General features: G+C 35.7%; 1 protein-coding gene and 1 long non-coding RNA gene across 17 annotated transcripts in view, besides 1 other annotated feature; one reads left to right on the forward strand and one right to left on the reverse strand.

The window, feature by feature from the left end:
- The window catches only part of ADGRV1 (adhesion G protein-coupled receptor V1), a 605641-nt gene that overhangs the window by 154705 nt on the left and 422984 nt on the right, over positions 1-27952 (forward strand). For all 16 annotated transcript variants that reach the window (NR_003149.2, XM_017009963.3, XM_017009969.3 and 13 more), the window contains 8 exons: positions 2966-3228; positions 6547-6722; positions 7434-7558; positions 11331-11488; positions 11585-11731; positions 12048-12155; positions 15168-15432; positions 16141-16263. Coding sequence is in view for 15 of the 16 variants with exons in the window: in XM_017009963.3 (XP_016865452.1) it covers positions 2966-3228; positions 6547-6722; positions 7434-7558; positions 11331-11488; positions 11585-11731; positions 12048-12155; positions 15168-15432; positions 16141-16263 (1365 nt within the window). In the remaining variant the exon portion in view is untranslated. The remainder of the gene's footprint in view (positions 1-2965; positions 3229-6546; positions 6723-7433; positions 7559-11330; positions 11489-11584; positions 11732-12047; positions 12156-15167; positions 15433-16140; positions 16264-27952) is intronic.
- LOC105379077 (uncharacterized) lies at positions 16-27768 on the reverse strand. Its single transcript, XR_001742802.2, has 3 exons — positions 27406-27768; positions 2285-2308; positions 16-209 (listed from the first exon to the last, which is right to left on the reverse strand). It is a non-coding gene; the product is annotated as an uncharacterized LOC105379077 (long non-coding RNA).
- Positions 24255-24756: an enhancer, noted in NCBI's record as "NANOG hESC enhancer chr5:90033573-90034074 (GRCh37/hg19 assembly coordinates)". NCBI's record gives its function as "activates a minimal SCP1, AML or CMV promoter by ChIP-STARR-seq in primed H9 embryonic stem cells {active_cell/tissue: H9 hESC(primed)}" and the evidence as "EXISTENCE:reporter gene assay evidence [ECO:0000049][PMID:30033119]".

Raw genomic sequence — 27952 nt, forward strand, 5'->3', positions numbered from 1 at the left:
CAATGCAAATGGATTTAAACACATATAATTTATTGGTTTATTTAACCTGAGGATACAGCGACATACACCTTTAGATGAGGCAGGAGCAGGACTTAATGCTGCCAGAGATCCTGAGGTTTTCTGTCTCTTTTCTTTGCCTTTTGGAATATTGGCTTCATTGCAAGGCTAATGTTATTCATTGTCATAAGATGGTGATCAGGACCATTCTTCTGCATTTCATATAACAGGAAAGAGAGAGTATTCAAATTCATGCATTCCTATAAGGTCCTTATAAAAATCTGATTGAAATTACATAGGTGACATGCCCACCTCCATGAGTAGGAGAAAGGAATATAGTATTGGGCTCTCTCAAGCTTACTTTATATTTGTAATTTTCTATTTTTAAAGATTAAGAAATTCCTCAGAGCAAAAAGTGCTTTGACAGTGAGTCGTTTCTTAAACCATGCCCCATTGATTGACCTTGAGACTATTTCCAAACCCTTATAAAGTTTCAATAAATATCCTTTTACATAAATCTCTATATATGTGGATAATTAAGATTATCTGTTGAGTACAGTGCATGTTGAGTGAAAGGACTCATCCGTTGCCTTCTTTGTTAGTTACATTTCAATGTGTACATATACGATAGTTTCTCCATATCCTTACCAGCAATTTCTTTAGTCTTTAAATTTTTATATGCCATTTCTAATGACTGAAAAATGTGTGGTTGTATTATACATTATTGTGCATTTTTTCTTTCATTTTCCTGATTGTTAGTGAGCTTGACACTGGTTTGTTTTTTTTTTACTTTGTGATCCTGTTTTTCGTATCCCTTATGTACTTTCCTGTGGTTTTTGCTTTACTGGTTTGTAGGAATAGTTATATATTTTGAATTCAACACTTTGCCTCTTAAATATATTGCAGATATTTCTCCCAGACTGTCATTTATCTTTTATTATAATGTCTCTTATTATAAAAATTTTTTTAAATTTAAAATATCAAATATTTTCTGGTATGCTTTTAAATCCTACTTTCTTAGGTCTTTTCACCCAAATGCTATAAAATATTTTACTATATTTTCTACTATTTTCATTGTTTTGATTTATATTTACATTATTGCACATATCAGGAATTTATTCATTGGTAGTGTGTGAGGCAAGGATACAACTTCATTTTTCTTCTAAAATGCAGAAAATAATACCCTCATATCGTACAGAGAATGAAACATCCATTAGCCATTAATTTTCAACATGAAATATCTACCCTTCTTTTTTTCCTTTTTTCTATCCATCTACCTATCATTTTCCTGGACTCTGTTTTGTTCTATTTGCCTATTTATGTGCTAATAGCATACTGCTTTATTTATCATAGCCTTGAAGTACATTTTGCTAGTTTTTCAGGCCAAATATTTTTCTTTTTCTTTCTCTAAATTATCTCACCTATTCCTTAAAAAAGTCTCTTTCATATGAACATTAGATTCAAACTGAGATCTATAAAACAAACAAACTATTTTGATTGGGGTTGAATTAAAATTATGGATTAATTTGGATGGATTTGACATCACTGTAATATTGAGTTTTCCAATTTAGAAATATAAAATGCCTCTCCAGTAATTTAGATCTTTTATACCATTGCCTTCCCTTGTGTTCTCTCAAAACCAAACTGTAAGACAAGGATTTGGACAAGGATTTAGTTTATTTGAGAGGTGATCTCTGGAGGCCTGATGAGAAATGAGGAGGTGAGAGAGAGGAAAGCTGATAGATGATGTCCTAATGAGCAGTACTGCTGTGGGCAACTGACACTCAGTCCTGCTGGTGTTCCTCTTAGACACTGGGTTGAATGAAGCTTAGGACTGTCCCATGACAAGGAAAGAAATCTGGGCTGTTCATTTACCAGCTCCTATTTCTGATCATTTGAGAGTTGCTCTTGGGTGTTAAATTTGCAACAGTTCTGTCCTTACTCCTGCATGGGCTGATGCTGTCTTCAGGTAGAGAGAGACCACTAGGCAAATAGGAACTGCTGCAGGTGACTTTAGAGTGGGTGAAAGGGAGGTGCTGACAGTGTCTGCCACAGTTATACATTAAAATTTTGTGATTTTCTTCATATAGGTTTTATAGTTTTTACATTAGGCTAATTTCTAAGTATTGTTGCTATTGTGAATAAGGTCTACTTTTCTTTTTTTTTTTTAAATAGCTGATCTTTAGAGATATTATAATAGTCTTTAAGAATGTATGATCTGAAGCAGACTTTCTGACTTTGTGCACCAGGTCTGCCACTTCCCAGCTTGTAAACTTCTTCAAATTACCTGAATGTCCTTCAATCATAGGTTCTGTAAAATGAGAATAATAATATAATCAATATCATAGGGTTATTGTGAGAATTAAAAGAGTTAATATAGGTTAAGCAATTAGTAAGTTCTTAATAGTATTAGTTGTAATTATTATTAATATAAGTGACAGTAAAAAATAGAACACTCTTGATTTGTGAAGGTTACTCAGCTTGCTTTGTGTTCTTACTGTAGTTCTAATATTTTCTCTTACATTTTCTTAGTAGACAATCATGTCATCTAGAAAATAGTGACAGTTCTGACTCTTTCCACTACTTTTACAGGTGTTATCTGGCTGATAGCCCTGGGACACTGTTAAATAGTAACAATTATGACAGACATTATTATTTTGTTTCTGTTTTTAGTGGGAATGCTGCTAATGTTTCAATATTTGATATTTGTTGTTGACTTCTGAGAGATACTGCTTCATCAGGTTAAGGAAGCTGCCTTTTATCCCAAGATTACTGAGTATTTTTCTATCATGATTGAATATGTTATTTTATTAAATGCTTTAAAAAATTCTGTCATTTTTAAGATCATCTTAAGACAATCACCTTAGGTAAAGAGTTGGCCTAGTTTTCAATTAGACATCCACACTTTTTTCAGCATTTATAACCTCTTCTATTTTCATTTGTTGCTTTAATATTTTTATTTTGGCAGCCTTAATTATTGTCCTTGCTAATGATGACGGCCCTGGAGTTCTATCATTTAACAACAGTGAGCACTTTTTCCTAAGAGAGCCAACAGCTCTCTACGTCCAGGAGAGTGTTGCAGTATTGTACATTGTTCGGGAACCTGCACAAGGATTGTTTGGAACAGTGACAGTTCAGTTCATTGTGACAGAAGTGAATTCCTCAAATGAATCTAAAGATCTGACTCCTTCCAAAGGCTATATTGTTTTAGAAGAAGGTGTTCGATTCAAGGTACAGTAAGAAGCTTTAATGAGAATGGAAGTTTATCTTTAATATTTACAAAATAAATTTCTCTTAGATGAGCACTCAAGTCCTAGAATGAAAAAACAATACTTCCAGCTTAGGTGTTAGACAAAGACATGATTCATTTACTATGTGACAAGTGCTGTAGTTCTATTTACTCTGTATAAAGCGCAACTGGAAAAATTTACTATTAATAGGGTAAAAGAATATGCAAATAATAAAGAAAATATATGTATGGCTATTTTAAATTTTCAGCACATTTAAATTGCATATGTCACTTTATATTGTGTATAAACCATATAAAAGAAAACCCAAGCCAACTTTTGTAAACATTAAGTCCCAGCCAATCATTTCCCTTTCACCACATTTTTGTTGAACAAAATGTAACTGCTTACTTCAGACTGCTTGTTTGACAACAAGAATAGTTTATTGGAGAAAAAAATGCTGGATTTGGGATAAATATGATCTATACTCACAGTTTACCTTCCCAAACCTCTTTTTCTATATATTAACAATTTTCTGTTCCTGCTACTAAACTTTATTTTTTAAAACAGTTTAAGTTTAAAATGCAGCACACCAACATGGCACATGTACACATATGTAACAAACCTGCATGTTGTGCACATGTACCCTAGAACTTAAAGTATAATAAAAAAAAAAGCAATTTGCAAGATTATGTTGCAAATGTGATTTTTTTTTTTTTTTTTTTTTGAGGCAGAGTCTCACTCTGTCATCCAGGCTGGAGTTCAGTGGCGCAATCTAGGTTTACTGCAAACTCCACCTCCCAGGTTCAAGTGATTCTGGAGTGCAGTGACGCGATCTCAGCTCACTGCAAGCTCTGCCTTCCGGGTTCATGCCATTCTCCTGCCTCGGCCTCCTGAGTGGCTACAGGCGCCCACCACTACAGGCGCCCACCATCATGTCTGGCTAATTTTTTGTATTTTTAGTAGAGACGGGGTTTCACCGTGTTAGCCAGGATGGTCTCGATCTCCTGACCTCGTGATCCGCCCGCCTCAGCCTCCCAAAGTGCTGGGATTACAGGCATGAGCCACCACGCCCAGCTATTCCCAGCTAATTTTTTGTATTTTTAGTAAAAATGGGGTTTCACCATATTGGCCAGTCTGGTCCCAAACTCCTGGTGCCAAGTGATCTGCCCGCCTCAACCTCCCAAAGTGTTGGGATTAAAGGCATGAACCACTGTGCCGGGCCTGTGATTATTTTGACTCATTTTTTATTGTGGAAAAATACGTGTAATATAAGATTTACCATTTTCACCATTTTTAGTGAACGTTTCAGTGGCATTAATTATATTCACAGCAATGTACAACCATCACCACCATCTATTTCCAAAATTTTTCATCATTCCAAGGACAAACTCTGTGCCCATTAAGTAGTAACTCCCTATTACTCCTCTCCCTAGTAATCTCCAGTCTACTTTCTGTCTCTATGAATTTGCCTATTCTAGATATTTCGCATATGTGAAATTATACAGTATTTACCCTTTTGTGTCTGACTTCCTTCGCTTAGCAAAATGTTTTCAAGGTGCATCTGTGTTGTTACAGGTATCAGAACTTCATTCCCTTTTCACAGCTAGATTATATTTTATTGTATGTATATACCGTAATTTTTAAATCCAGCTATCTGTTGTTTCCACCTTTTGACTCTTGTCAATAAAGCTCCTATTATTGTGAAAATAAAATAAAATAAAATAGCTGATTATGTTAGCTTTAGGCATTTTTCAAGCCTGCTGTAGAAAATATAATAAATCTAAAATAATAGATTTAAAGCTATTTTGTCTAAAACAGTCCATCTAATAATTATTTTTTTAAATGATCATTTTATGTAACTTCAGCACATTTGCAAATGCATATTCATTGTCATGGTTTTTTTTCACATTTTGGAAATTTAAAACCTTAATTGGTTTGTGCAAGATCACTTACATTTAAATCTTGAAATATATATATAAAAATTCAAATTTGAAATATTTTATTAATTTTCTATTGCTTTATTCATGTTTTTTCATCTTTAAAATTTTTCTCAAATTTGTTGTTTTTTTTTACTGTGACTTTTTTCATAAAAGACTCCTTTTTCACAGTATAGCTATATACTTTTCTTTTTATTAGGCAAATTAAATGTTAGAGCAAATTGGATTAAATAAATTTTTTAACCGACATAACTGTTTTTATTCCAAAAAGTTTTTATTTTGAGGTATAAGTAGTAAAATACACAAATCTTAAGTATATGGCTTAGTGACTGTAAAGATATATATATACATACATGTAACTACCACTCAGATTAAAATATTTAACATTAAAGCTGGGCGTAGTGGCACACGCCTGTAATCTTCCGGGGGCTAGGCGGGCGGATCACTTGAGGTCAGGAGTTCGAGACCAGCCTGGCCAACATAGTGAAACCCTATCTCTACCAAAAATACAAAAACTAGCTGGGTGTAGTGGTGTGTACCTGAATGGTACTCAGGAGGCTGAGGCAGGAGAATAACTTGAACTTGGGAGGTGGAGGTTGCAGTGAACAGAGTGCCACTGCATTTCAGCCTGGGTGACAGCACAAGACTCTGTCTCATAAATAAATAAATAAATAAATAAATAAATAAATAAATAAATAAATGTATTTAACATTATCATCACCCGGAAGATTCCCCCTGTCTCTTCCCCTTTCCAGAGGAAACTACTTTCTGATTTCTATCATTGAAGACTCATTTTGCTGGTTCTTGAGCTTCATATAAATAGAATCATACAGTGTGTACTCTTTTGTGTCTGGCTTCTTTCACTCAATATAATGTTTAGGTCTGTATGGTTGCATGCATCAGTAGTTGGACATTTTTTTTAATCACTGAGTAGCATTTTATAAAATAGACCACTATTGGTTTGTCTGTTCTCCCACTGATGAACGTTCGGATGTTTCTAATTTGTGCCTGCTATGACTACAAATGTTTTTTTAACAGTGAACCCTAGATTAGAATGAGATTAATCAAGTTATGTAGCCAGAGCAGGACAAAAAGTTCACAAAAATGAAGACATAGATGTAATTTTTAATCAATGTTATTTTAAAATGCACTAAATATTTTTTGGACACTTTAGTGCAGTATATCACAAAGTTGAAAATCCTAAAAGTAGTAACCTGAAACAGATGTAACCATCACATTATAGGAATCAGTATTAAATCAAAGTGAGATGATATTTTTCAAAACATGCTATTTTGTTGTCAGAAATGTTCAGTAGATTTCGCTATATATGTGTTACAAAAATACTGTATTCTAGTAACCTTATCTTTTGATTTTGTTTTCAGGCCCTACAAATATCTGCCATATTAGACACGGAACCAGAAATGGATGAGTATTTTGTTTGCACCTTGTTTAATCCAACTGGAGGTGCTAGACTAGGGGTGCATGTTCAAACCCTGATAACAGTTTTGCAAAACCAGGCCCCTTTGGGGCTATTCAGTATCTCTGCAGTTGAAAATAGGTATAGTTTATTCATAAGGAAATTATCACTTCTGAAGCTATAAGTAGGGAATATTTTTTGACATAAGAAAATGCAGAAGGAAATTGATATCTGATTATTTTAAAAGGGATTTTTAAAATGAACTCTAGAAAAGATAGGTCTAGAGAGACCAGTTACTCTCCTAACTGGGAGTATCAAAAACCTAAACTCACCCTGTTATTAGAATGGTGTTATTAGAATTCTTATTTTCTCAGAGTTCACACTTTCAGGTAAAGGTCTGTACTATTTTGTGTTTTAAAAATAATAAAAAGCAAGAAATAATAGAAAGCAGACTTAACTGCTCAAACCAAGTGAATGACTCTTCAAATATATATTAACATGATTGTGGTTTTAAAATTTCTTCTAGAGGCTGACAAATATTTATTTTTTATATCATAAAAATATTTTAATAGATCTAGTTTCATTAATATGTTAATTTCCTGACTCATTTTTTTCCTATAAAGTGTTTTTGATACATGTGTGAAGAAACATAAGAATGACAATTTTATTTCTTTTTCAGAATATAGAGTGCAAAGTTACTGAAGTAACTGATTTTTAGTATTTTCTTATCATCTCATCTTGGATTGTGTAAATTTAAAAATGTATTAAGTATATGCTAGCAATATGATATATATTTCAAATATGTAGAATGTATACTTTTTCTGCTTCCCTCAATCCATGTATTTCTTTCAGAGCCACCTCCATAGACATCGAAGAAGCCAATAGGACCGTGTATTTAAATGTATCTCGAACTAATGGCATTGATTTGGCTGTGAGTGTGCAGTGGGAGACAGTATCTGAAACAGCCTTTGGCATGAGTATGTTTCATTTCTTATGAGAACAAAATTCTGTAACGAAAAAATATTGCATGTATAAGATTTATATTTTTTCCTTTGAATTGTATGTTATTGATCATTTGAAAATGGAAAACAGATAATCTAATTCTTTTATTGCATCTATAAATATGTGTTGAGGCTGGGCGCTCATGTGTTGAGGCTCATGCCTGTAATCCCAGCACTTTGGAAGGCCGAGGCGGGTGGATCACAAGGTCAGGAGATCGAGACCATCCTGGCTAACATGGTGAAACCCCATCTTTACTAAAAATACAAAAAATTAGCCGGGCGTAGTGGCAGGCGCCTGTGGTCCCAGCTACTCGGGAGGCTAAGACAGGAGAATGGCGTGAACCTGGGAGGCGGAGCTTGCAGTGAGCCGAGATCGTGCCACTGCACTCCAGCCTGGTCAACAGAGCAAGACTTGGTCTAAAAAATAAAATAAAATAAAATAAAAATAAAAATAAAATAAAATAAAATAAAATAAAATAAAATAAAATAAAATAAAATAAAATAAAATATGTATTTAGTGCCTATGCCAGGCATGGCACTGAACTCGTGGATCTTAGAATTTAGGGGATGGGGGTGACAGAAATGAATCAAGTAAGTAAAAATCAATGTATACTTTAAACTTTAGTAAGTGCTTTTGTCAAAGGAGAAGTTCTAAGTGTTGAAAGAATATAGGGGAATGCTTTCAAGGGGTATTGATCTTTGAGCTAAGACTGAATGATGAGTAGAGATTGATTATGCAAAGGACTGGGTTGGAAGAACATGGAGGTGAGAGTGAGAAGCTGTGAAGGCAGAAAACTGAGGCATAAAAAGCACACATAAGTGAAGAACTTGAGTGGATAGTAGGTACAGAAATAAGGAGGAATGTTGAGCTTGGATAGCTGGACAAGACCATATCATTCAAGAACTTAAGGAATATTTTATAGTTGCCAGTCTTTATAATAGTGTTAATGGAAAGCCTTCGAGTGGTTTAGGAATGGAGGAGAGTTACCATATGTAATGTGGTATGGTATAATCATATATGGATTTTGAAGATATTATTCACAGTGCCATGTAAATAATGGGTTGATACAGAAGAGAAGTGAAGATACAGGGAGGCAAGATGGTGGTAGCTTAGACTAGGTGTTGAGTATGAAGGTGAGGGACAGGGAAGTACCAAAGATGACTCAGGCTTCTAGCTTGTGCAGTTGGATGGGAGAAGGGGTTCATGCTATTCATTAAGATGGAATTCCAAAAAAGAATAGATGTATTTTAGTAAGGGGAGTAAAATAAATGTGGTTTAACACATTTTGAATTTGAGTTACTTTTGAGAATAAATTTCTCTAGACTCAAAAGAAGGTCTCTGCTGGGCCGGGCGCGGTGGTTCATGCCTGTAATCCCAGCAGTTTGGGAGGCCGAGGTGGGCGGATCACCTGGGGTCGGGAGTTTCAGACCAGCCTGACCCACACGGAGAAACCCCATCTCTACTAAAAATACAAAAAAAATTAGCCGGGCTTGGTGGCGCACGCCTATAATCCCAGCTACTTGGGAAGGCTGAGGCAGGAGAATCGCTTGAACCTGGGAGGTGGAGGATGCCGTGAGCCGAGATCGCACCATTGCACTCCAGCCTGGGCAACAAGAGCAAAAACTCCGTCTCAAAAAAAAAAAAAAAAAAAAAAAAAAAAAAAAAAAAAAAAGGTCTCTGCTGGAGAGATAAACCTTGGAACTTTAGCTATATATATTGTATTTGAAGTCATGGAAATTGATGTAATAATCTGAAAAGAAAGGCTGAAGATGGAGAAGGGAAGAGGACACTATAGACTGAACTATAAGAAGGTTCAACTTGAATGGCTGAGGATATGGGATGATGGCCTAGCAAAGGAGACTTAGGGGACCTGGTAGGAAACTCAGGAGAAAACAGGATGGCAGATACCAGCAGAAGAGTGCTTTAAAATGGAGGAAAAAGTAAACGGTGTCAACCCCTGGTGAGAAGTCCAGTAAAATGAGAACCTGGAAAATAATTATTATAATTAGCAACATAGAAGGCATTAATGACCATAGAAAGGGCTATTTGTATAGAAAGATGGGGAATTAATACCATTTTGAATAGAGGTGAAAGAAGAGAGACCTCAAATATATGCAACCATTTCAAGAAGTTTGGCAGGGAAGATAGGACCTGGAGAAGGTAGTAGTGGTGTGGTGTCGGAGGTTTTTTGCATGTTTAGTTTGGAGAGACCCAAGCATGTGTAGGTTGGATGGAAAAGGTAGAGAAATGTTAAATATTTAGAAGAAAAAGGAGATAATTAATAGTGGTATGGTTGTCTAGAAGACAAGCTGAGATGGGATCCAAAAAAGAAAGTCTGGTTTCTAATTTAGATTTCTGCATTACGCTTGGACTTTGCATGTGTTTTTTGGAAGTACTCATGAGAGCACATGTCGGAGATTCTTAATTGTTAGCAGTCATTGCTTATTCTTCATTTGTGGTCGTCTTGAATTATTGTAGAGAAGGATTTGTCCATATGTCAGGACCATTTGGGACTCTAAATGAAAAATCTGCAGTATACCTTTAAAAGGGAGCAACATAAAAATTTAAAATGCTGGATTTTTAGGAAAGGAAATTGCTATTGGATATTACATGTAAGGCATTGACAAATTCTCTTGAATTAGTAATCTAAAAATGATCAATCATTTATAGGGAGCCCAGGTTTCAACCTTGATAGTTGTTCTTACTGCATCATGTTCACACCATTAACCAAAATTTAAAAAGAACTTAATGTTTTGGAGGGAAGCAGCCATGTTAAGAGACTATACATTTTTTAAAAAATGTTTACTCCTCATTAGTTAGGGGATTTTTATTTTTGCCCTTTTTTTTTCTTTTTTTTTGTAGTACAGAATTTTAAAACATGTACCAGTTGTAGCAGTTTGATAAAACCTTGACAGCCATTTGAAATATGTGAGTCTGCTTGGCATTCTTAAAATGTATAAAATGTAAGTGAAAAATTAGATAGGCATAATTTCAAATTTAATAGCGTAAATTTTTTAAACCAAATATCATATTTCTATAAAAAGTATTTATTATTATAAAATTTCTCAGTTATATTTTCATCAGCTTTACAGAAGTTGATAAAAATCATGTTCTGCATATTTCCCTTTAAAATATACATTTAGTATTTATTTAGTTAGTTTTTGAGCCAGGGTCTGGCCATGTCACCCAAGCTGGAGTGCAGTGGCACTATCTCGGCTCACTACAACCTCCGCCTCCCGGGTTCAAGCAATTCTCGTGCCTCAGCCATCCGAGTAGCTGGTATTACAGGCGCACACCATCATGCCCAGCTGATTTTTGTATTTTTAGTAGAGAACGGTTTCACCATGTTGGCCAGGCTGGTCTCAAACTCTTGACCTCAAGTGATCCACCTACCTCGGCCTCCCAAAATTCTGGGATTACAGGCGTGAGCCACCATGCCCAGCCACATTTAGTATTTATTTCTAAATACACCTTGGAAAAGTATGTGTAGGTATAAAGCAGAGCTTTAACAAATTTTCTTGGTTTTTAAATAATAATTTAAAAATATTCTTATTTGTAGTACAAATTCATTATTTGTAGTTATTTTAAAGTTTTCCCACTTGTGTCTTTTCACACTCATACACACGTCATGAAAGAATTTTCATTTGTAGTCACAAATGCACTTGTCTCATTGTTTAAACAATAAATTAGAATAGATAAGTTTTTGAAGGAGTAATAAACTAGTAAACCATGATTTGTGTTTTTCAGGGGGAATGGATGTTGTGTTTTCCGTATTTCAAAGTTTTTTGGATGAATCAGCTTCTGGCTGGTGTTTCTTTACTTTGGAAAATTTAATATATGGTATAATGTTAAGAAAATCATCTGTTACTGTTTACCGATGGCAGGGGATTTTTATTCCAGTTGAGGTAAACATCAGTATTTTTTTATAGTACAAAAATAAAATGTGCAGATAAATTTTAGATGTATAATGAATAACTGTATTCTTATTCCTCATTTTCTAGGATTTAAATATAGAAAATCCTAAAACTTGTGAGGCCTTTAATATTGGTTTTTCTCCCTACTTTGTGATTACTCATGAAGAAAGAAATGAAGAAAAGCCTTCTCTTAACAGTGTGTTTACATTCACATCTGGATTTAAATTATTCCTGGTAAAAACATTTTCATTTTTAAATAGATTACTTTCTTTAAAAGAAATTAAGATTTGTAAGATTGTTCAAATTGGAAGATAATGTATGTTTTATGTTAATGTGAAAAAGGACTTTTTGTGAGTTGATATACATTTTAGCAAAGTATCTTAATCCGGGGATATTTTTGTCTTTTTAAAATGACACTTAGTTATGTGTAGCTTGGTATTAAAATTTTTTAAGTCTTGCACTTCAGATTTTAACTCATGCTATTAGTGTGTTCAGTGGCTTTCTTAGTTCAACTCTCCTTTAAGTTTTCATTCCCACTCTGTCCTTGCAGGTACAAACAATCATTATTCTGGAAAGTTCTCAAGTAAGATATTTTACTTCAGACAGCCAAGATTATTTAATCATTGCAAGTCAAAGAGATGATTCCGAATTAACTCAGGTTTGATTCTTTTAAAATGAAGTGGGTTTTTTTTTGCTTTTCTTTTTAACATTATAATTGAAATTTACCAAAGGTATGGTCTGCTGGTTTAGTATAAAAGAAAACCAAAATTTGATTGTGGTAAAGTAGAATGTAAAGACTGGTTAGTTAAAAGTTAATTTTTAAATACCAGAGTCATAAAATGTTATATTATCTTCAAGAGCCAAGGATAATGTAACAATAAAAATGAACATTTAATTAGAATTTAACTGAATTGCAAAACATTGTGGAGAAACATCACACAGCCAGACAGAGTATCACTAAAAATTCATGATTAGCATTGCCACACAGGCATTCAGTATCACCTCAGAAATCCCACATTTCTTTAGTAAACTAGATCTTGTAATTCTAGTAATGCTTATTTGATAACTTTTGTCACTCCTTAAACTTCCATACATGCTTCACAATTCCATTTTCAGCTAATTCCCTTGTTGAAGTGAAAGCTACCAAAAGGGGTATTATTCATTTTCCCAACACCAAATTCAAAAACCCACTTGAAACCCAATCTTAGTCCTCATTCCTGCTACGACAGAGAAAGTGTCCCTTCTAAAAAGCCAGGCCTCTCACATAAGTGCCCACCTTGTCCTTATAAGGTTTAGCTATTCCCTCCATCTCTGACATCTCTCTCTCTATTTGGTTACTACAATCAGCCTAAATGTTCTAGCTTCACCCAGCTTAAAAAGAAATTCCTCCCTTGATCTCATTCCCTTCTAGTTTTCATTTCATTTCCTTTCTCCCTTCTATAGTAAGACATCCTGAAAGAATTTTCTACTTGTTTTGTCTTTACTTCCCCGTGCTCACCAATGACAACTGCATTACCAGATCCAGTGGGTGTTTTTCTGTGTAATCATTATACATTCCACCAGCATGTGACAGTCACCTCATCCTCAAATATAAATCTTACCTTGCTTTCTAACACACTACACAAATTTTCCTTTTCCCTTTCTCTCTCTGGGTATGTGTGTGTGTGTGTGTGTGTGTGTGTGTGATCCTTCTCAGTCCCCATTGCCAGTTCCTCTTCCCTTTCGTAAACTTAGATGTCTTGGAGTTTTCCAGAAAGATTCACTTATAGTTCAAATTTCTTTTTTCTTTCTCTTCACTCACTTGGATACTTTTATCAATCCTGTGGTTTTAAATATCAGCAATAGGCTAGCGTATTTTAAATTATATCTGTAGCCTTTCCTCTGTATTCCAGGCCTACATACCTAACTGCCTATTGACATGTTCACTTAAATATATTTTTGGTACATAATATTTAACATATCCCAAACTGAACCTTTGATTTCCACTATGAAACTTGTTACTTCAGTGCTAGCTTTCATCTCAGGAAATAGCAACCCCACGAACTCAGTTGCTTAGGACAGAATCCTGGGATATTTCTTCCTTGATTACTCCTTTTTATTAGTGGGGGGGATGGGGTCTGGCTCTGTGGCCCAGGCTTGAGTGCAGTGCCATGATCACAGGTCACTATAGCCTTGACCTCCTGGGCTCTGGTGATCCTCCTACCTTAGCCTCCCGGGTGGCTGGGTCAACAGGCGTGTGTCACCACACCTGGCTGATTTTTTGTATTTTGTAGAGATGGGATTTCACCATGTTTCTCAGGCTGGTCTTGAACTTACTCCTTTTTATTCTTTCACATCGAGTTTATCATTAAGTATTTTTGATTATATGTGTCAATAAGTGAAGACATTTTGTCTCTACTCCTCCCTACTCCAGGTCCCCATTATTTCTCTTCCACACCATTATAGTGTCCTCCTAGCTGTTCTCTGAATTTCCTTGACCTCCTCAGATCCATTCTCCATTGAGTAACTGGAGGCATTTTTTAAAAATATTAATTGACTAATGTTATTTCTGATTTTAAAACCACTCAATGATTTGCAATTATACTTAGAATAAATTTGAAATTATTTAATATGGGCTTAACATAGGATAGCTATATTTCCTGATTTGCCTTGGAAAGTACTGGATTATGCCTGTTCTGGTATTGTTATTAATATTGCCCCTTTCACTCTTTAAAGGATCCCTGTTTAGGTGATTAATTATATGGTCATCCTAATGGAAGGTACTCCATGATGATCTTACCTCTCCAGCCTTAACTCTCATCATTCTCCCAGCACTATCAGATTCCTTCCAGTCTTTATTCAGATAATGACAAATTTTTTCTGTCTTAAGAACTTTGTCATGTTGTTCCTTCTAACTTGATTTCCCAAATACCTTCATAATTCTCTATCAGACCATCCTAATTGTCATCTTCAGTACTTGACTCATTTTATACTTATACATTGACTTAATTATTGATATGTTTCTTGTTTACCTTTTCCTAATAGTTAATAAGATCCATAAAGGGAAAGGTCGCTGTATCCATAGTTCTTAGCATAATGTCTGTGGCTCAAAAGTTCCTAATTGTTGACTGAATAAGTATAATTTTCTGTGACATTGACCAGCTTGCCTTCAGGTAGGGTCTGAATTTTAATTTTGCATTTATGAACACTTACCCTGAAAACTTGCATACGTTGACTGCCACCATGGGGACAGAAAGGATTTAGGTGTTTCTCTGTATTCTATTGCTCGAGCAATTGATAATAATATTGCAGCATTAGAATGTTTCTTATTCCGTTCTAAATTTTTCATATGTAGTGTATTTCCTGGTTTTAGCTTTCCCTTTCCCTGCTGTCAACAACCCTTACCCAGATGTACATTTGATACTGATTTCTTTTCAAATATCTTCTCTTTCATTCACTCTGTGTGTGTGTATGTGTACTTATGTGCATAGACATATATGTGCACACTCACACAGATTAGATAAGGGAGAGAGCAGCAAGGGAGCATCAGTTTTAGTATTTTCTTATTTATGAAAGTATCTTTTTAACTAAATAAAAGGATCCAAGAGAGTAAACATATGGTATTGATTACATTCTTGCAAGTGCTAAATTCCTAGTCATAAAGGGTTTTGTATTTCAACATTTCCTTCAGGTCTTCAGGTGGAATGGAGGAAGCTTCGTGTTGCATCAAAAACTCCCTGTCCGAGGTGTGCTGACCGTGGCCTTGTTCAACAAGGGAGGCTCTGTGTTCTTAGCCATTTCCCAGGCTAATGCCAGGCTAAACTCCCTTTTATTCAGATGGTCTGGCAGTGGGTTTATTAACTTTCAAGAGGTGCCTGTCAGTGGGACAACAGAAGTTGAGGCTTTGTCTTCAGCCAATGATATTTACCTAATATTTGCCGAAAATGTCTTTCTAGGTGAGAAGATAAAGTATTTGTAGTGTATATATAATTATTGAAATCATCTAGCATTCATATGGTATATTTTATATGAAAATGCTCTTGCAATAATTTTTTACTAATCCATAGAATATTTCTTGATAGATAAGTATTAATTGTCAGCTGTAAATGGATTTTTGAGAAATATTTAAGCATTATACCCCTAATCTTGTGTTCTGACTACTACCTGAAAGTTATATGAAAACAAAATTGGAAGTAGGTAGGTAAAGTTGAAAGATACATGAATATTTTATACGCAGGATGCAAACAAGTAACTTTTTATATGTATTTACTTGATGTGCCATGAATAATTTATAGTATTAGTAAATAATGTTCAGAACTTTTTATAAGACTCTTTCAGAATATTCTTGGAAGGAAAATTTGCTTTCTGCTGCTGAGTAGAACTTTCATGGGTAAAATTGCAACATTCCTAAAAAAATTAAAAAAAATTGTCCTTGTTCTTTCTTTAACATTATATCATGGTTAATGACTAATAATGTATTCCCGTCATGCAGTAAATGCAAAAAGACTTTTGAAGTACTTCCTATTAACTTGTATTTTTATTGGACTAAATGGATTCTGAGGAAATTTGTTTCTTGATATTTTTATTATAGTTTTATTATGTAATTTTGTCATTTTTTTCTGTAACTTTTGCATTAAGATTTGACTTCTATTTCATTATTGCAGGAGATCAGAATTCAATTGATATTTTCATCTGGGAGATGGGACAGTCTTCCTTCAGGTATTTTCAGTCTGTAGATTTTGCTGCTGTTAACAGAATCCACTCCTTCACACCAGCCTCAGGAATAGGTAAGGACTTTTCAACTGCTCACCAATTCTAAAGGTAGTATGGAAAGCCAGAATGATTTTAATCTCATTGATTTAGATTTAGTATCACATTGCCAGACACTGGGTATTTTTTTTTTTTTGGAGATGGGGTCTAGCTGTGTTGCCCAGGCTGGAGTGCAGTGGGGCAATCTCTGCTCACTGCAAGCTCCGCCTCCCAGGTTCCGCTATTCTCCTGCCTCAGTCTCCCCAGTAGCTGGGACTACAGGCGTCCGCCACCATGTCTGGCTAATTTTTTTGTATTTTTAGTAGAGACGGGGTTTCACCGTGTTAGCCAGGATGGTCTTGATCTCCTGACCTTGTGATCCGCCCACCCAAAGTGCTGGGATTATAGGCGTGAGCCACCACGCCCAGCCGACTCTGGGTATTTTAATAGGAATGTAACATCAAGAGCTTTACAATACTCCTTCCAGAAATCCTATAATTTTTTGAAATTCTTTTGAATTTCAATTTTCCTTTTGCAGATTAATACTTTCAGAATGGACATTGGCTTGAGAATAATCAGAATAACTAAAATATGGAGGAAAATATTAGTGAAGAATGAAAATAATATATTTCTTTTGTCTAGAGAAACATGAAGAGTGACATTAAATATATATTTTTAAAATATGAAAGTATGTATATGGCAATAGCAAGTATTTGCATTTATGAATTTTTTTTAAGTTGGAGAATGACTATGAGAATTCTTCCATCTTCATGAACTCTCCCAACCTCCTCCACAGTCTGAAATCCTTTCTTGGTCTTCTGTACTTTAATCCACACATCAGAAACATAAGCAATATTTTTAATCACTGTGGTTTCAGAAACAAAGTCGATTGGAGAGAACCCAAGGTATTATTGCTGTCTGCAGGTTGTAGGATTATTTTAGGGTTGGCAAGGAATCCCTTGGGTGGGCCAGTGATGATAAGGAGATGAAGCTGAGGCCAGTGGCATGGTGAGCTTATCAAGCTGGCTCATGGGGTGGGTGTTCATAGCACAGGGAGGAGACACAGACAGTGGGTCATCATGTCTCCTGTTGAGGTGTCTAGAGAATTTGTGAGCCAAGCCTGAGTGGCTCCACAGGTGACTCTGGATGAATCATAGTCCTGCTTTTAAATTGAGATATGGCAATTCTGTATGAATTAAATGGCACACAGTTATTAATTTGATATTATATGTAAGTCAATGTTACCATGCTATGAAGAATTCCTCTACTTAAAAGCCTTAATGTATGGTTGGAGAAGCAAGAAAAAATATTAAGATACTAATTCAAGGTACAGGACTATATTAGTCCATTCTCACACTGCTTTAGAAAACTATCTGAAACTGGGTATTTTATGAAGAAAAAAGGTTTAATTGACTCACAGTTCCACAGACTGTATAGAAAGCATGCTTTGGGAGGCCTCAGGAAGCTTACAGTCATGGCAGAAGGGTGAAGGGGAAGCAAGCACCTTCTTTACATGGTGGAGGGAAAAAGAGAGCGCGAAGGGGGAAGTGCTGCACACTTTTAAACAACTGGATCTTGGGAGAACTCCTCTACTATCACAAGAGCAGCAAGCGGGAAATCCGCCTCTATGATCCAATCACCTCCCACCAGGTCCCTCCCCCAACACTGAAAATTATAATTTGACATGAGATTTGGGTTGGGACACAGAGCCAAACCATTTCAATGACCAATACCATTTGCTCTGTGAGGGGTAGAATTGGAGTGATTAAGAGAGACAAGAGAAAGCTTGAGCTATGTCTGCGTGGATTGGCAGGACACACTTTGGGCAGAGGGAAAGGTATGAGCAAAGGAGAAAGGCAGAAGTGTTTATAGCATTGAGGCCACCATTGGTAGATGAAAGTGCCAGCGACAGAGGATTTGACCAGAATGTTGTGGTGCTGAGATTGGAGATACAACACTGGAATCTAGAGAAGATGGCCTGGAATGGCAGGCACATGGTGCGCCTGTGCCTCAAATCATCCAGCAGTTTTCACACATTTTGCTCTTAGAATCTATTCATATTTATTGTGTAAGAGATTAAAACTGAGAAATGTTAAAGTCATCTATTTTAAAATGACAGCAATATACTCATTATGTGTAAATACAACGTTATTTTTAAAAAACACTTTCTAAAACGAACACTTTTATGAGAAGAGTGGCATTGGTTTTATTTTAATTTTTGAAAATCTCTTTAATGTCTGGTTTAATACATGGTATATAGATTCTACTTTATGTATTTAATTAATTTTTTTAAGGGACAGCATTTTGCTCATTTGTCAGGCTATAATGTAGTGATGCAATCATAGCTTACTGCAGCCTTGAACACATGAGTTCAAGCCGTACTCCCACCTCAGCCTCCTGAATAGCTAGGACTACAGGCATGCTCCATCATGCCCACATAATTAAAAAAAAGTTTTTTTTAAAAGTGGAGTTTCTTTGTGTTGCCCAGCCTGGTCTTGAGCTCCAGGCTTCAGGAGATCCTCCTGCCTCAAAGTGCTGGGATTACAGTCATGAGACACTGTGCCCAACTGATTCTCCTAATTAATTAACTTTTTTCCATCTTTATTAAGGCTTGATTGACAAACATTGTTTATATTTAAGATATACAATGTGATATTTTGATATACATATAATGATATGTATTTCCTCAATTGAGCTAATTAACCCATCCATTACCTCACATATTTACCTTTTTTTGATGAAAACACTTAAAATCTAGTCTCTTAGCAATTTCAAGTATACAGTACATTATTGTTAACTATAGTTATTATGCTGTAGATTAGGTCCACAGAAATTACCCATCTTATAACTGAAAGTTGGTAGTCTTTAATCAAAATCCCCCATTTCTCTCACGCCCTGGCCCCTGGCAAGCACAGTTCTACAATTTGCTTTTTTGAGTTTGACTTTTTCAGATTCCACATATAAGTGAGATCAGGCAGTACTTGTCTGAGTCTGGGTTCTCATGTCTGCATCTGAATTCAGTCTACTCCAGTATTATCAGTCATTTAGCCTCTGCTAAGTTCTGTACACTCATGAAAGAATGAGAATGAAGTAGAAAAACAGCATTATTATGAAAACAGCATTATTTTCATTTTATTATGCAAACAGTTTTGACCTCTGAAATCCTCTAAAAGGGTTTCAGTGTCTCTTAGATCCCTGGATCACACTCAGCAGTAGTGAGATAGAGAAATCCTTGAAGGCTTTTCAATGGCAAATGATGATCAAAGGCATGTTTTACAACTCCTCATAGCTTTGGTGTATAGAATATGCTGGATGAAGTAACTTGCAACTGCCTGGGCAAGAGTTGAAGAGGGCCTTTAGCTGGGGTGAGAAATTAGGAATGAAGATTCTTGTGAGAAAGAGAAATTAGAAATGAAAATCCTTGTGGGAAAGAGAAGTTAGAAATGAAGATTCAACAGCACTTGATGTCTGTTCAAATGTGGGGAGCAAAAGTTATTATACCTTGGCAACTGGGAGGAGAATGGTTTTAAATTAGGAAAAGACACAGAAAATGTCTGTAGTGGGAAATGTGATGAACTTGTTTATAGGTGTCTTTAGTTTGAGATAATATAGAAGCATGTGTAGGTGGTTAGTAGAGATGTGGAACTAGAATCAGAAAGAAATTGGAGTTAAAGGTTTGGATTTTGGAGACATCCATGCGTGGGGATAGTCGAACTCATAAATGTTAAAGTGTACAAAGTAAATGATATTGATTGCGAAGACTAGAAGATTTAGCACAAATACAGGAGTCAGTATTTGGAATTTTTCCCTTAGGTGCCCAACTACTGCTTTCTTTATCAAGCATTTAACATTTAGGCAGTGTTACCTTCAGTCACCTCAACTACTGACCAGGAATCACGGTTATTTATGTCTAACTTTTAAATTAGTATTATTTTTAATTTACAAGTTATAATTATATTACACATATTGAGTGTAATATGATGTTTTGATAAATGTATACAACATGGAATATTAAATCAAGCTATTAACATATCCATCACTTACTTAACATTTTTGTGATGATACAGTTGAAATGTACTCTTAGTTATTTTGAAATATACTATACATTATTATTGATTATAGTCACCCTGGTGTGCAGATCTCAAAAATTCCTCCTGTCTAGCCAAAATTTTGTACCTTTTGACCACCAACTTCCCATTCTCTTGCTCTTCCCCGCCCTGGTGACTATTGTTGTACCCTTTGCTATGAATTCAACTTTTAAAAGATTCCGCAACTAGTGAGATCATGCAGTATTTGTCTTTCTGTGCCTAGCTTATTTACTTGGCATAATGTCTTCCAGATCCATCCATATTGTCCCAAATGACAGAATTTTGTTCTTTTTTTGAAGCAGAATAGTATTCCATCGCGTATATATACCACATTTTCTTTATCCATTCATCTGTTGATAGATATATAGTTTGAGTTCACATTTTGGCTATTGTGAATAGTGCTGTAATGAACATGGGAGTGCAGATATCCCTTTGACATACTGATTTCAATTTCTTTTGACATATTCTTAGACAGAAGTGGGTATTGCTGGATCATTCTGTTCATTGTTGGGGGAACCTCCATACCATTTTCCACAACATCTTACTAGTTTACGTTTCTACCAACAGTGCATCTGCAAGCATTTCCTTTTCTCCTCTTCTTCAACACTTATTTTTGTGTAAGATTTATTCTAATAGGTGTGAGGTGATAGCTTATTTTGGTTTTAATTTTTATTTTCCTAATGATTAGTGATCAGCATTTTTTTCATGAACCTGTTGGCCATATATAAGGCATCTTTTAAGAAGTGTCTTTTCAGGTCTTTAGCCTATTTTTTTTTTTTTTTTTTTTTTGAGACAGAGTCTTGCTCTGTCGCCCAGGCTAGAGTGCAGTGGTGCAATCTCAGCTCACTGCAACCTCTGCCTCCCGGGTTCAAGTGATTCTTCTGCCTCAGCCTCCCGAGTAGCTGGGATTACAGGCACCTGCCACCATGCCCAGCTAATTTCACCATCTTGGCCAGGCTGGTCTCAAACTCCTGACCTCATGATCCACCTGCCTCAGCCTCCCAAAGTGCTGGGATTATAGGCGTGAGCCCCTGGGCCCGGCCTAGCCTATTTTTTAATTGGGTTGTTTCCTTGCTATTGAGTTATTTGAGTTTCTTATATAGTTTGGATATTAACCATTTATCAGATAGCTGTATGGGTTTAAAATGTTTTTTCCCATTCTTTGGGTTGTCCCTTCATTTTGTGATTGTTTCCTTTGCTGTGCAGAAACTTTTTAATTTGATGCAATCCCATTTGTCTATTTTTGCTTTTGTCGCCTCAACTTCTGGAGTCAATCAAAAAATCCTTGCCCAGATTAATGTCATGGGGATATTCCCCGTTTTCACTGAGTAGTTTATAACTTAAGGTCTTTAATTTATTTTGAGTTGATTTATGTATTTGGTATGAAATAATGGATCTAATTTCATTCTTCCACATGTGGATATCCAATTTTCTCAACACCATTTATTGAATAGACTCTCTTTCTTCATTGTGTGTTCTTGGCACCTTTGTCAAAAATCAATTGGTTGTGAAAGTGTGAGTTAATATCTGGGCTTTCTATCCTATCCCATTTGATCAGTCAGTCTGTTTTTATGCCAGTACCAAGATGTTTTGATCATAATTGCTTTATATTTTGAAGTCAGGTAGTGTGATGCATCCAGCCTTGTTCTTTTTGCTTGAGATCGTTTTGTCTATTCAGAGTGTTTTGTGGTTTCATATGAATTTAAATTTTTTTTATTTCTGTGAAAATAGAAAAATGATACCAGAATTTTGATAAGGACTGCATTGAATCTGTAGATCACTTTGGGTAGCATGGACATTTTAACAATATTCATTCCTTCAATTCATGAATATGGGATATCTTTTTATTTATTTGTGTTTTTTTCTATTTCTTTCATCAGCGTTGTACAGTTTTCAGTATACCAGTCGTTCGTCTTTATTGCTGTTGTAAATAGGCTTGTTTTCTTAACTTTTTTGGATAGCTAGTTATTAGTGTATAGAAATGCTACAGATTTTTGTATGTTGATTTTGTATCCTACGACTTTACTGACTTCAGTTATCAGTTCTAAGAGTTTGTTTTAATGCAAACTTTAGGGTTTTCAATATATAAAACATGTTGTCAGCAAACAGAGACAATTTAATTTCTTCCATTCCTATTTAGGTATGTCTTATTTCTTTCTCTCGCTTAATTGCTTTGGCTGGAACTTTCAGAACGATGTTGAAAGGAAGTGACAATAGTGGGCATCTTTGTCTTGGCCAGGATCTTGGAGAAAACCTTTTTCAACTTTTCACCATTGAGTATAATGTTGGTTACTTGTTTGTTATATGTGACTTTTATTGTACTGAAGTACATTTCCTCTATACCTATTATTTTGAGAGCTTTTATCATGAAAGGATGTTGATTTTTTTCAAATACTTTGCATCAATTTAGATGATTATTTGGTTTTTCTTCTTTATTTTCTTAGTGTAGTGAATCACATTTCTTGATCTGCATATATTGAACCATCCATAAATTCCAAGAATAAATCCCACTTGATCATGGTGAATGATTCCTTTATTGCATTGTTGAATTCAATTTGCTATTGTCTTACTAGGGATTTTTGCATCTTTGTTCATCAGAGATATTGGCCTGTAATTTCTTTTTTTCTTATAGGGTCTTTGGCCTTTATATCAGGATAATGCTGGCCATGTAAAATGAATTTGGAATTATCCTCTGTTCTTCAATTTTTTGGAGTATTTTAAGAAGGATTGGTATTTGCTCTTGAAATGTTTGGTAGCATTCAGCCATAAAGGCATCAGGTTCTGGGACTTTCTTTGATATGAGTCGTTTTATGACTGATTTAATTTCCTTACTCATTATTGATCTGCTTAGGTTTTCTATCTCTTCATGATTCAGTCTTAGTAGGTGCTATGTGTCTAGACGTTTATTCATTTTTTCAAGGTTATCCAATTTTTGGCACATAACTGTGGTAGTTTCTCTTGATCCTTTGTATTTCTGTATTTCTGTGGTATCTGTTGTAATGTCTCTACTTTTATTTCTGATTTTGTTTGAATCTGCACTTTTTTTCTTAGTTGATGTAGCTAAGGGTTTGTCAACTTTTTCTTTTAAAAAAAAACAATTCTTAGTTTTATTTATTTTTTTCTATTGTTTTTCTAGTCTTTTATTTATTTTTGCTCTTTGTTATTTGCTTCCTTCTGTTAACTTTGGGCTTAGTTTGTTCTTTTTCTATTTCCTTTAGTTGTAATATTAGACCATTTATTTGAGATTTTATTTCTTTTTCAATACAGGCGTTTATTGCTGTAAATTTTCCTTTTTGGACTGTTTTTGCTGCATACCATACATTTTAGTATATTATTTTTATTTTTGTCATAAGGTATCTTTTTATTTCTTCTGCAAGTCATTTATTGTTTAGAGTATATTTAATTTCTACATATTTGTGAATTTCCCAAGATTTCTTCTGTTATTGATTTCTAGCTTAATGCCATTATGATCAGAAAACATACTTGCTATGCTTTCAGTGCTCTTAAATTTGTTAAGACATGTTTTGTGGCCTAACATATAGTCTATCCTGAAGAATGTTCTGTTTGCTTGAGAAGAAAGTGTATTCTATTGCTTTTGGATAGAAGATTTTGTATATGTCTGTTAGGTCTATTTGGTCTACAGTGTAATTAAGTCCAGTGTTTTCTTATTGATGTGCTGTCTAGATAGTCAGTTTATTGTTAAAAGTGGGATACTGGGGTCCCCTACTATTATTGTATTGCAGTCTATATCACCCTTCAGATCACTTAATAATTGCTTTATTATTTAGGTGCTCCAATGTTGGGTGTATGTATATTTATAATTGCTATGTCTTCTTGATGAATTTACCCTCTTGTTGTTATAGAATGGTCTTCTTTGTCCCTTTTTATAGTTTTTTACTTAAAGTCTATTTTACCTGATATAAGTATATCTACCCTTCTGTTTTGACTTACATTTGCAAGGAATGCCTTTTTCCATTCCTTCATTTTCACTTTATATGTGTCGTTATTGGTAAATAGTCTCTTGTAGGCAGCATATGATTGGATCTTATTTTTTTTTAATACATTAAGCCATTCTGTGTCTTTTGATGAATTTAATCAATTTCATTCAGGATAATTATTAATAGGAGCAGACTTGCTACTGCCCTTTCATTATTTGTTTTCTGTTTGTTTTGTAGATCTTTTGTTTCTTTCTTCTTCTGTTGCTGTTTTCCTTTGTGGCTTGATGGTTTCCTATGGTGGTCTGCTTTTAATCCTTTCTTTTTATAGTTTTTGCTTCCACAGTAGTTTTCTGCTTTGTGGTTACCATGAGGCTTACATAAAACATCTTGTACTCAGAAACAGCTATTTTAAATTGATAAAAAATTAACTTCATAGCAAACAAAAACTATATTTTTATGTTCTCTCCCCTAAAACTTTTATGATTTTGATCTCAGAATTTTTTTTGTAATTTGTATTTCCTAACAGTTTATTATAGCTACAGTTATTTTTAATAGTTTTGTCTTTTAAACCTGAGAGATAAATTTGCTTTATATAATCACCTTACATTATTAGAATATCCTGAACATGACTATATTACTTATACCATTCAGTTTTCTTTAAATTTTCTCATGTTTTATGTTATTAGTTATCAGACTTTCATTTAAGCTTAAGTAACTCCCTTTAGCAATTCTATAGAGCAGGCCGAGTGGTAACAAACTCTCTTAGCTTTTGTCTGGGAAAAATTTAATTCTCTCTTGTTTCTGAAGGACAGCTTTCCTGAGTAAAGTATTCTTGGTAGAAGTTTTTTTCCCCTTCTTCATTACTTTGAGTTTATTATTCTACTCTCTCATGGTCTGCAGGGTTTCTGCTGAGAAATCTGCTAATTAGCCATATTGAGACGCCTTTGAATGCGACTATATTCTCTATCTCTTGCTGCTTTCAGTATTCTTTCTTTGTGTTTGATTTTTGTCTGGGTAAACTCTTCATTGAGTTGAATTTGACTGGAGAACTTTGAGCTTCCAATTTCTAGATAGTGTTGTCTTTCCCCAGATTTAGGCATTTTTCAGCCAGTATTTTTAAAAATAATGATTCTTGGTATTTTTTCTTTCTCTTCTTTGGGAACTCCTGTTATGTACAGCTTAGTTCTCTTGATTGTGTCACATAATTCCTATAGACCTTCTCTATTCTTTTTCATTCTTTTTTATTTTTGCTTCTTTGACTGGATAACTTTAAGTATCCTATCTTTTAATTCACTAATTTTCTTTCTTCTGCTTGATCAAGTCTGCTGTTGAAATTTTCTACTGAATTTTTAGAATAGTCATTGTATTCCTTATTTCTAGCGTTTCTGTTTGTTTTTTTGTTTGTTTTTATTTCTTTGTCAAATTTCTTATTTTGTTAATGAATTGTTTTCCAAATTGCATTTACTGTTTCATCTGTATTTTCTTATAGTTCCCTGAACTTCAAGAGAATTATTCTGAATTTTTGTCATTCATTTTATAGATCTCCATTTCTTCAAGATCCATTATTGGAACTTTATTAATTTCTTTTGGTCATATTTCCCTGATTTAAAAAAAATCCTTATGTTGGCATCTGCACATGTGAGGAAACAGCCACCCTTTTCAGGCTTTTCTAGTGTTCTGTGGTGGTGATAGAACTTCACTATTTAGTCTAGCTTGGGATTCTGGTTGGGTTAGTTGGTAGTGACCCCAGACAAGTAGACTTTGTTATCATGTTTTGTATTTGGGCTGGGCTGTTACCTGTGACCTGGGATCAAATGGAAGTGCTGGCTGTGCTCTGAGATCCAGTGACATCTCTGGTTGGGGTCTTCAGTAAGTCAGAGCTGTTGCCTGGGCGTAGTAATTGCCTCTGATCAGTGTTGTAGATTGTCTTCTCTGGCTGGATAGTGCTGTGGTTTGGGATCTATATCTGCACAGGGCCACCTACTTGGCTGGGAGGCTGGGTGAGGTGTCTAGATTGCTACTTAACTACTCAGGGTAGGCAGGACTGCAGGCTATGCTGCATAGATATGCATGGACATGGGCTTGCCTCCCATACTAGGGTAACCTTAAGCACAGCACTGAGGTTTGGTTTAGTAGCTGTTTAGCTGCTGTAGTTGAGCAGAGTCAGATGCTCCCCTCAGAAGACATTCACACACATGCACATGACTCCTTGCCTGGCAAGGGCTTAAGGAGAGCCCCAGGATTTGGTTGGATTGATGCTCACTAGCTGAGTCTGGGCAGGACTAGATTCAGATAATTGCTGACCTGCTTTTAACTTCTAGCTTGGAGCGAAGTTAAGGAAAGTACTGGGGCTTGGCTAAGTCACAGCTCTGCAGCTGGGTCTGAGTAGGGTCAGATGCTCTCTTTGGATAATCCGTGGGTCTGGGAAGGGTCAGAGGGTCCCTTTGTGGATAATGCTGACCTGCCCTTGCTTCTTGGCCTGGAAGTGGCTGTGAAGGAGATCACCAGGGCTTGGCTAGATCACAGCTCTGTGGCTGCATCTAGGTGGGGTCAGATGCTCCCTCTGTGAATGATGACAAATGTACCCCTGCCTTCTGGCCTGAGAAAGGACTAAAGAGTACTCTAGAGCTTGGTTGGGTTGCAGCTCAATCACTAAGCTTGGGTGGAGCTAGATGTTTACTCAGCAGATAATTATCAACATGCCGCTATCTCCTGGCCTGGGGAAGTTTTAAGGAGAGCACGCAGGCTGGCTGTGGAAGCTGGCCAGGGATTTGGGCCTGGGAGGCCTGTCAACTGTGCCTCATTCAGAGCAATGCTGTTGGGTATTCTTTCTGGTGGTGTGCCTCCACTGGCCACAAGGCAGAGCCGCCACCAAGATCTGCTTGTCTGTCACTGTGAGCCCTACCCCTGTTCGTTGTTTCTAAGTGACCTCAGGTGGTCTAGCCCTGTTGATAGCTAGTGTTTCCAGTGGGGCAAGACAAGGGAGTGTTACCTGTGAATGGGCCCAGAATGTTGGGGAAGCTGAATGTCTGCCTCCAACTCAACTCTCTCTTCCCTCTGTAAAAACCCACAGTTCCCGGGGAATCTCTTGTGTGCCGGACTGTGCTGGCTTGGGGGAGGGGCAACATAGTCAAAGAGAAACTGTTCCTCTTACACTTCAATTGTAGCTGTTCTTTGTCTGTGGTCCAAGGGGTTGTTTCAGCCTCACTCCCATGTTCTGGGATATTCATCAAGGTATTCTTGTCTCTGAATAGTTGCAAATTGGATTTCTGTAGAAAACGGTGGAGCCAGAGAGTTCCTATTCCACCATCTTGCTGATGTCATTCTATTTACCTCTCACTTTTTATAGATTGTTTCTCACATTGTACTTTGTTTCCATGTTTTCTACTCCTTCCTCCTCATCCCTGTGGAATGCCCATACCACATTCTCCCAGTCCCCAGCCACCTTCTACCTGGACTATTACATCACTTCCTGGCCTCCACACTATCTTTACTTTGCCATCAGAGTCCTCTGCCTGTCTCTGTTCTGCTCATTCTTTCCTTAAATAACTTCTCTTTACATTGTCAACACTTTGACTCGTCATAAATCTGTTATTATCCTAAGATATACAACTTGAGTGACTTATCATTCAACAAGTGATTTGTTGAGTAAATTATGTATCTTTCATCATATATTTGTTTAGTTTTTGTCTACCTGTCCT

The sequence above is a fragment of the Homo sapiens genome, chromosome 5 (genome assembly GCF_000001405.40).
Source record: "Homo sapiens chromosome 5, GRCh38.p14 Primary Assembly".
Classification (NCBI taxonomy): Eukaryota; Metazoa; Chordata; class Mammalia; order Primates; family Hominidae; genus Homo; species Homo sapiens.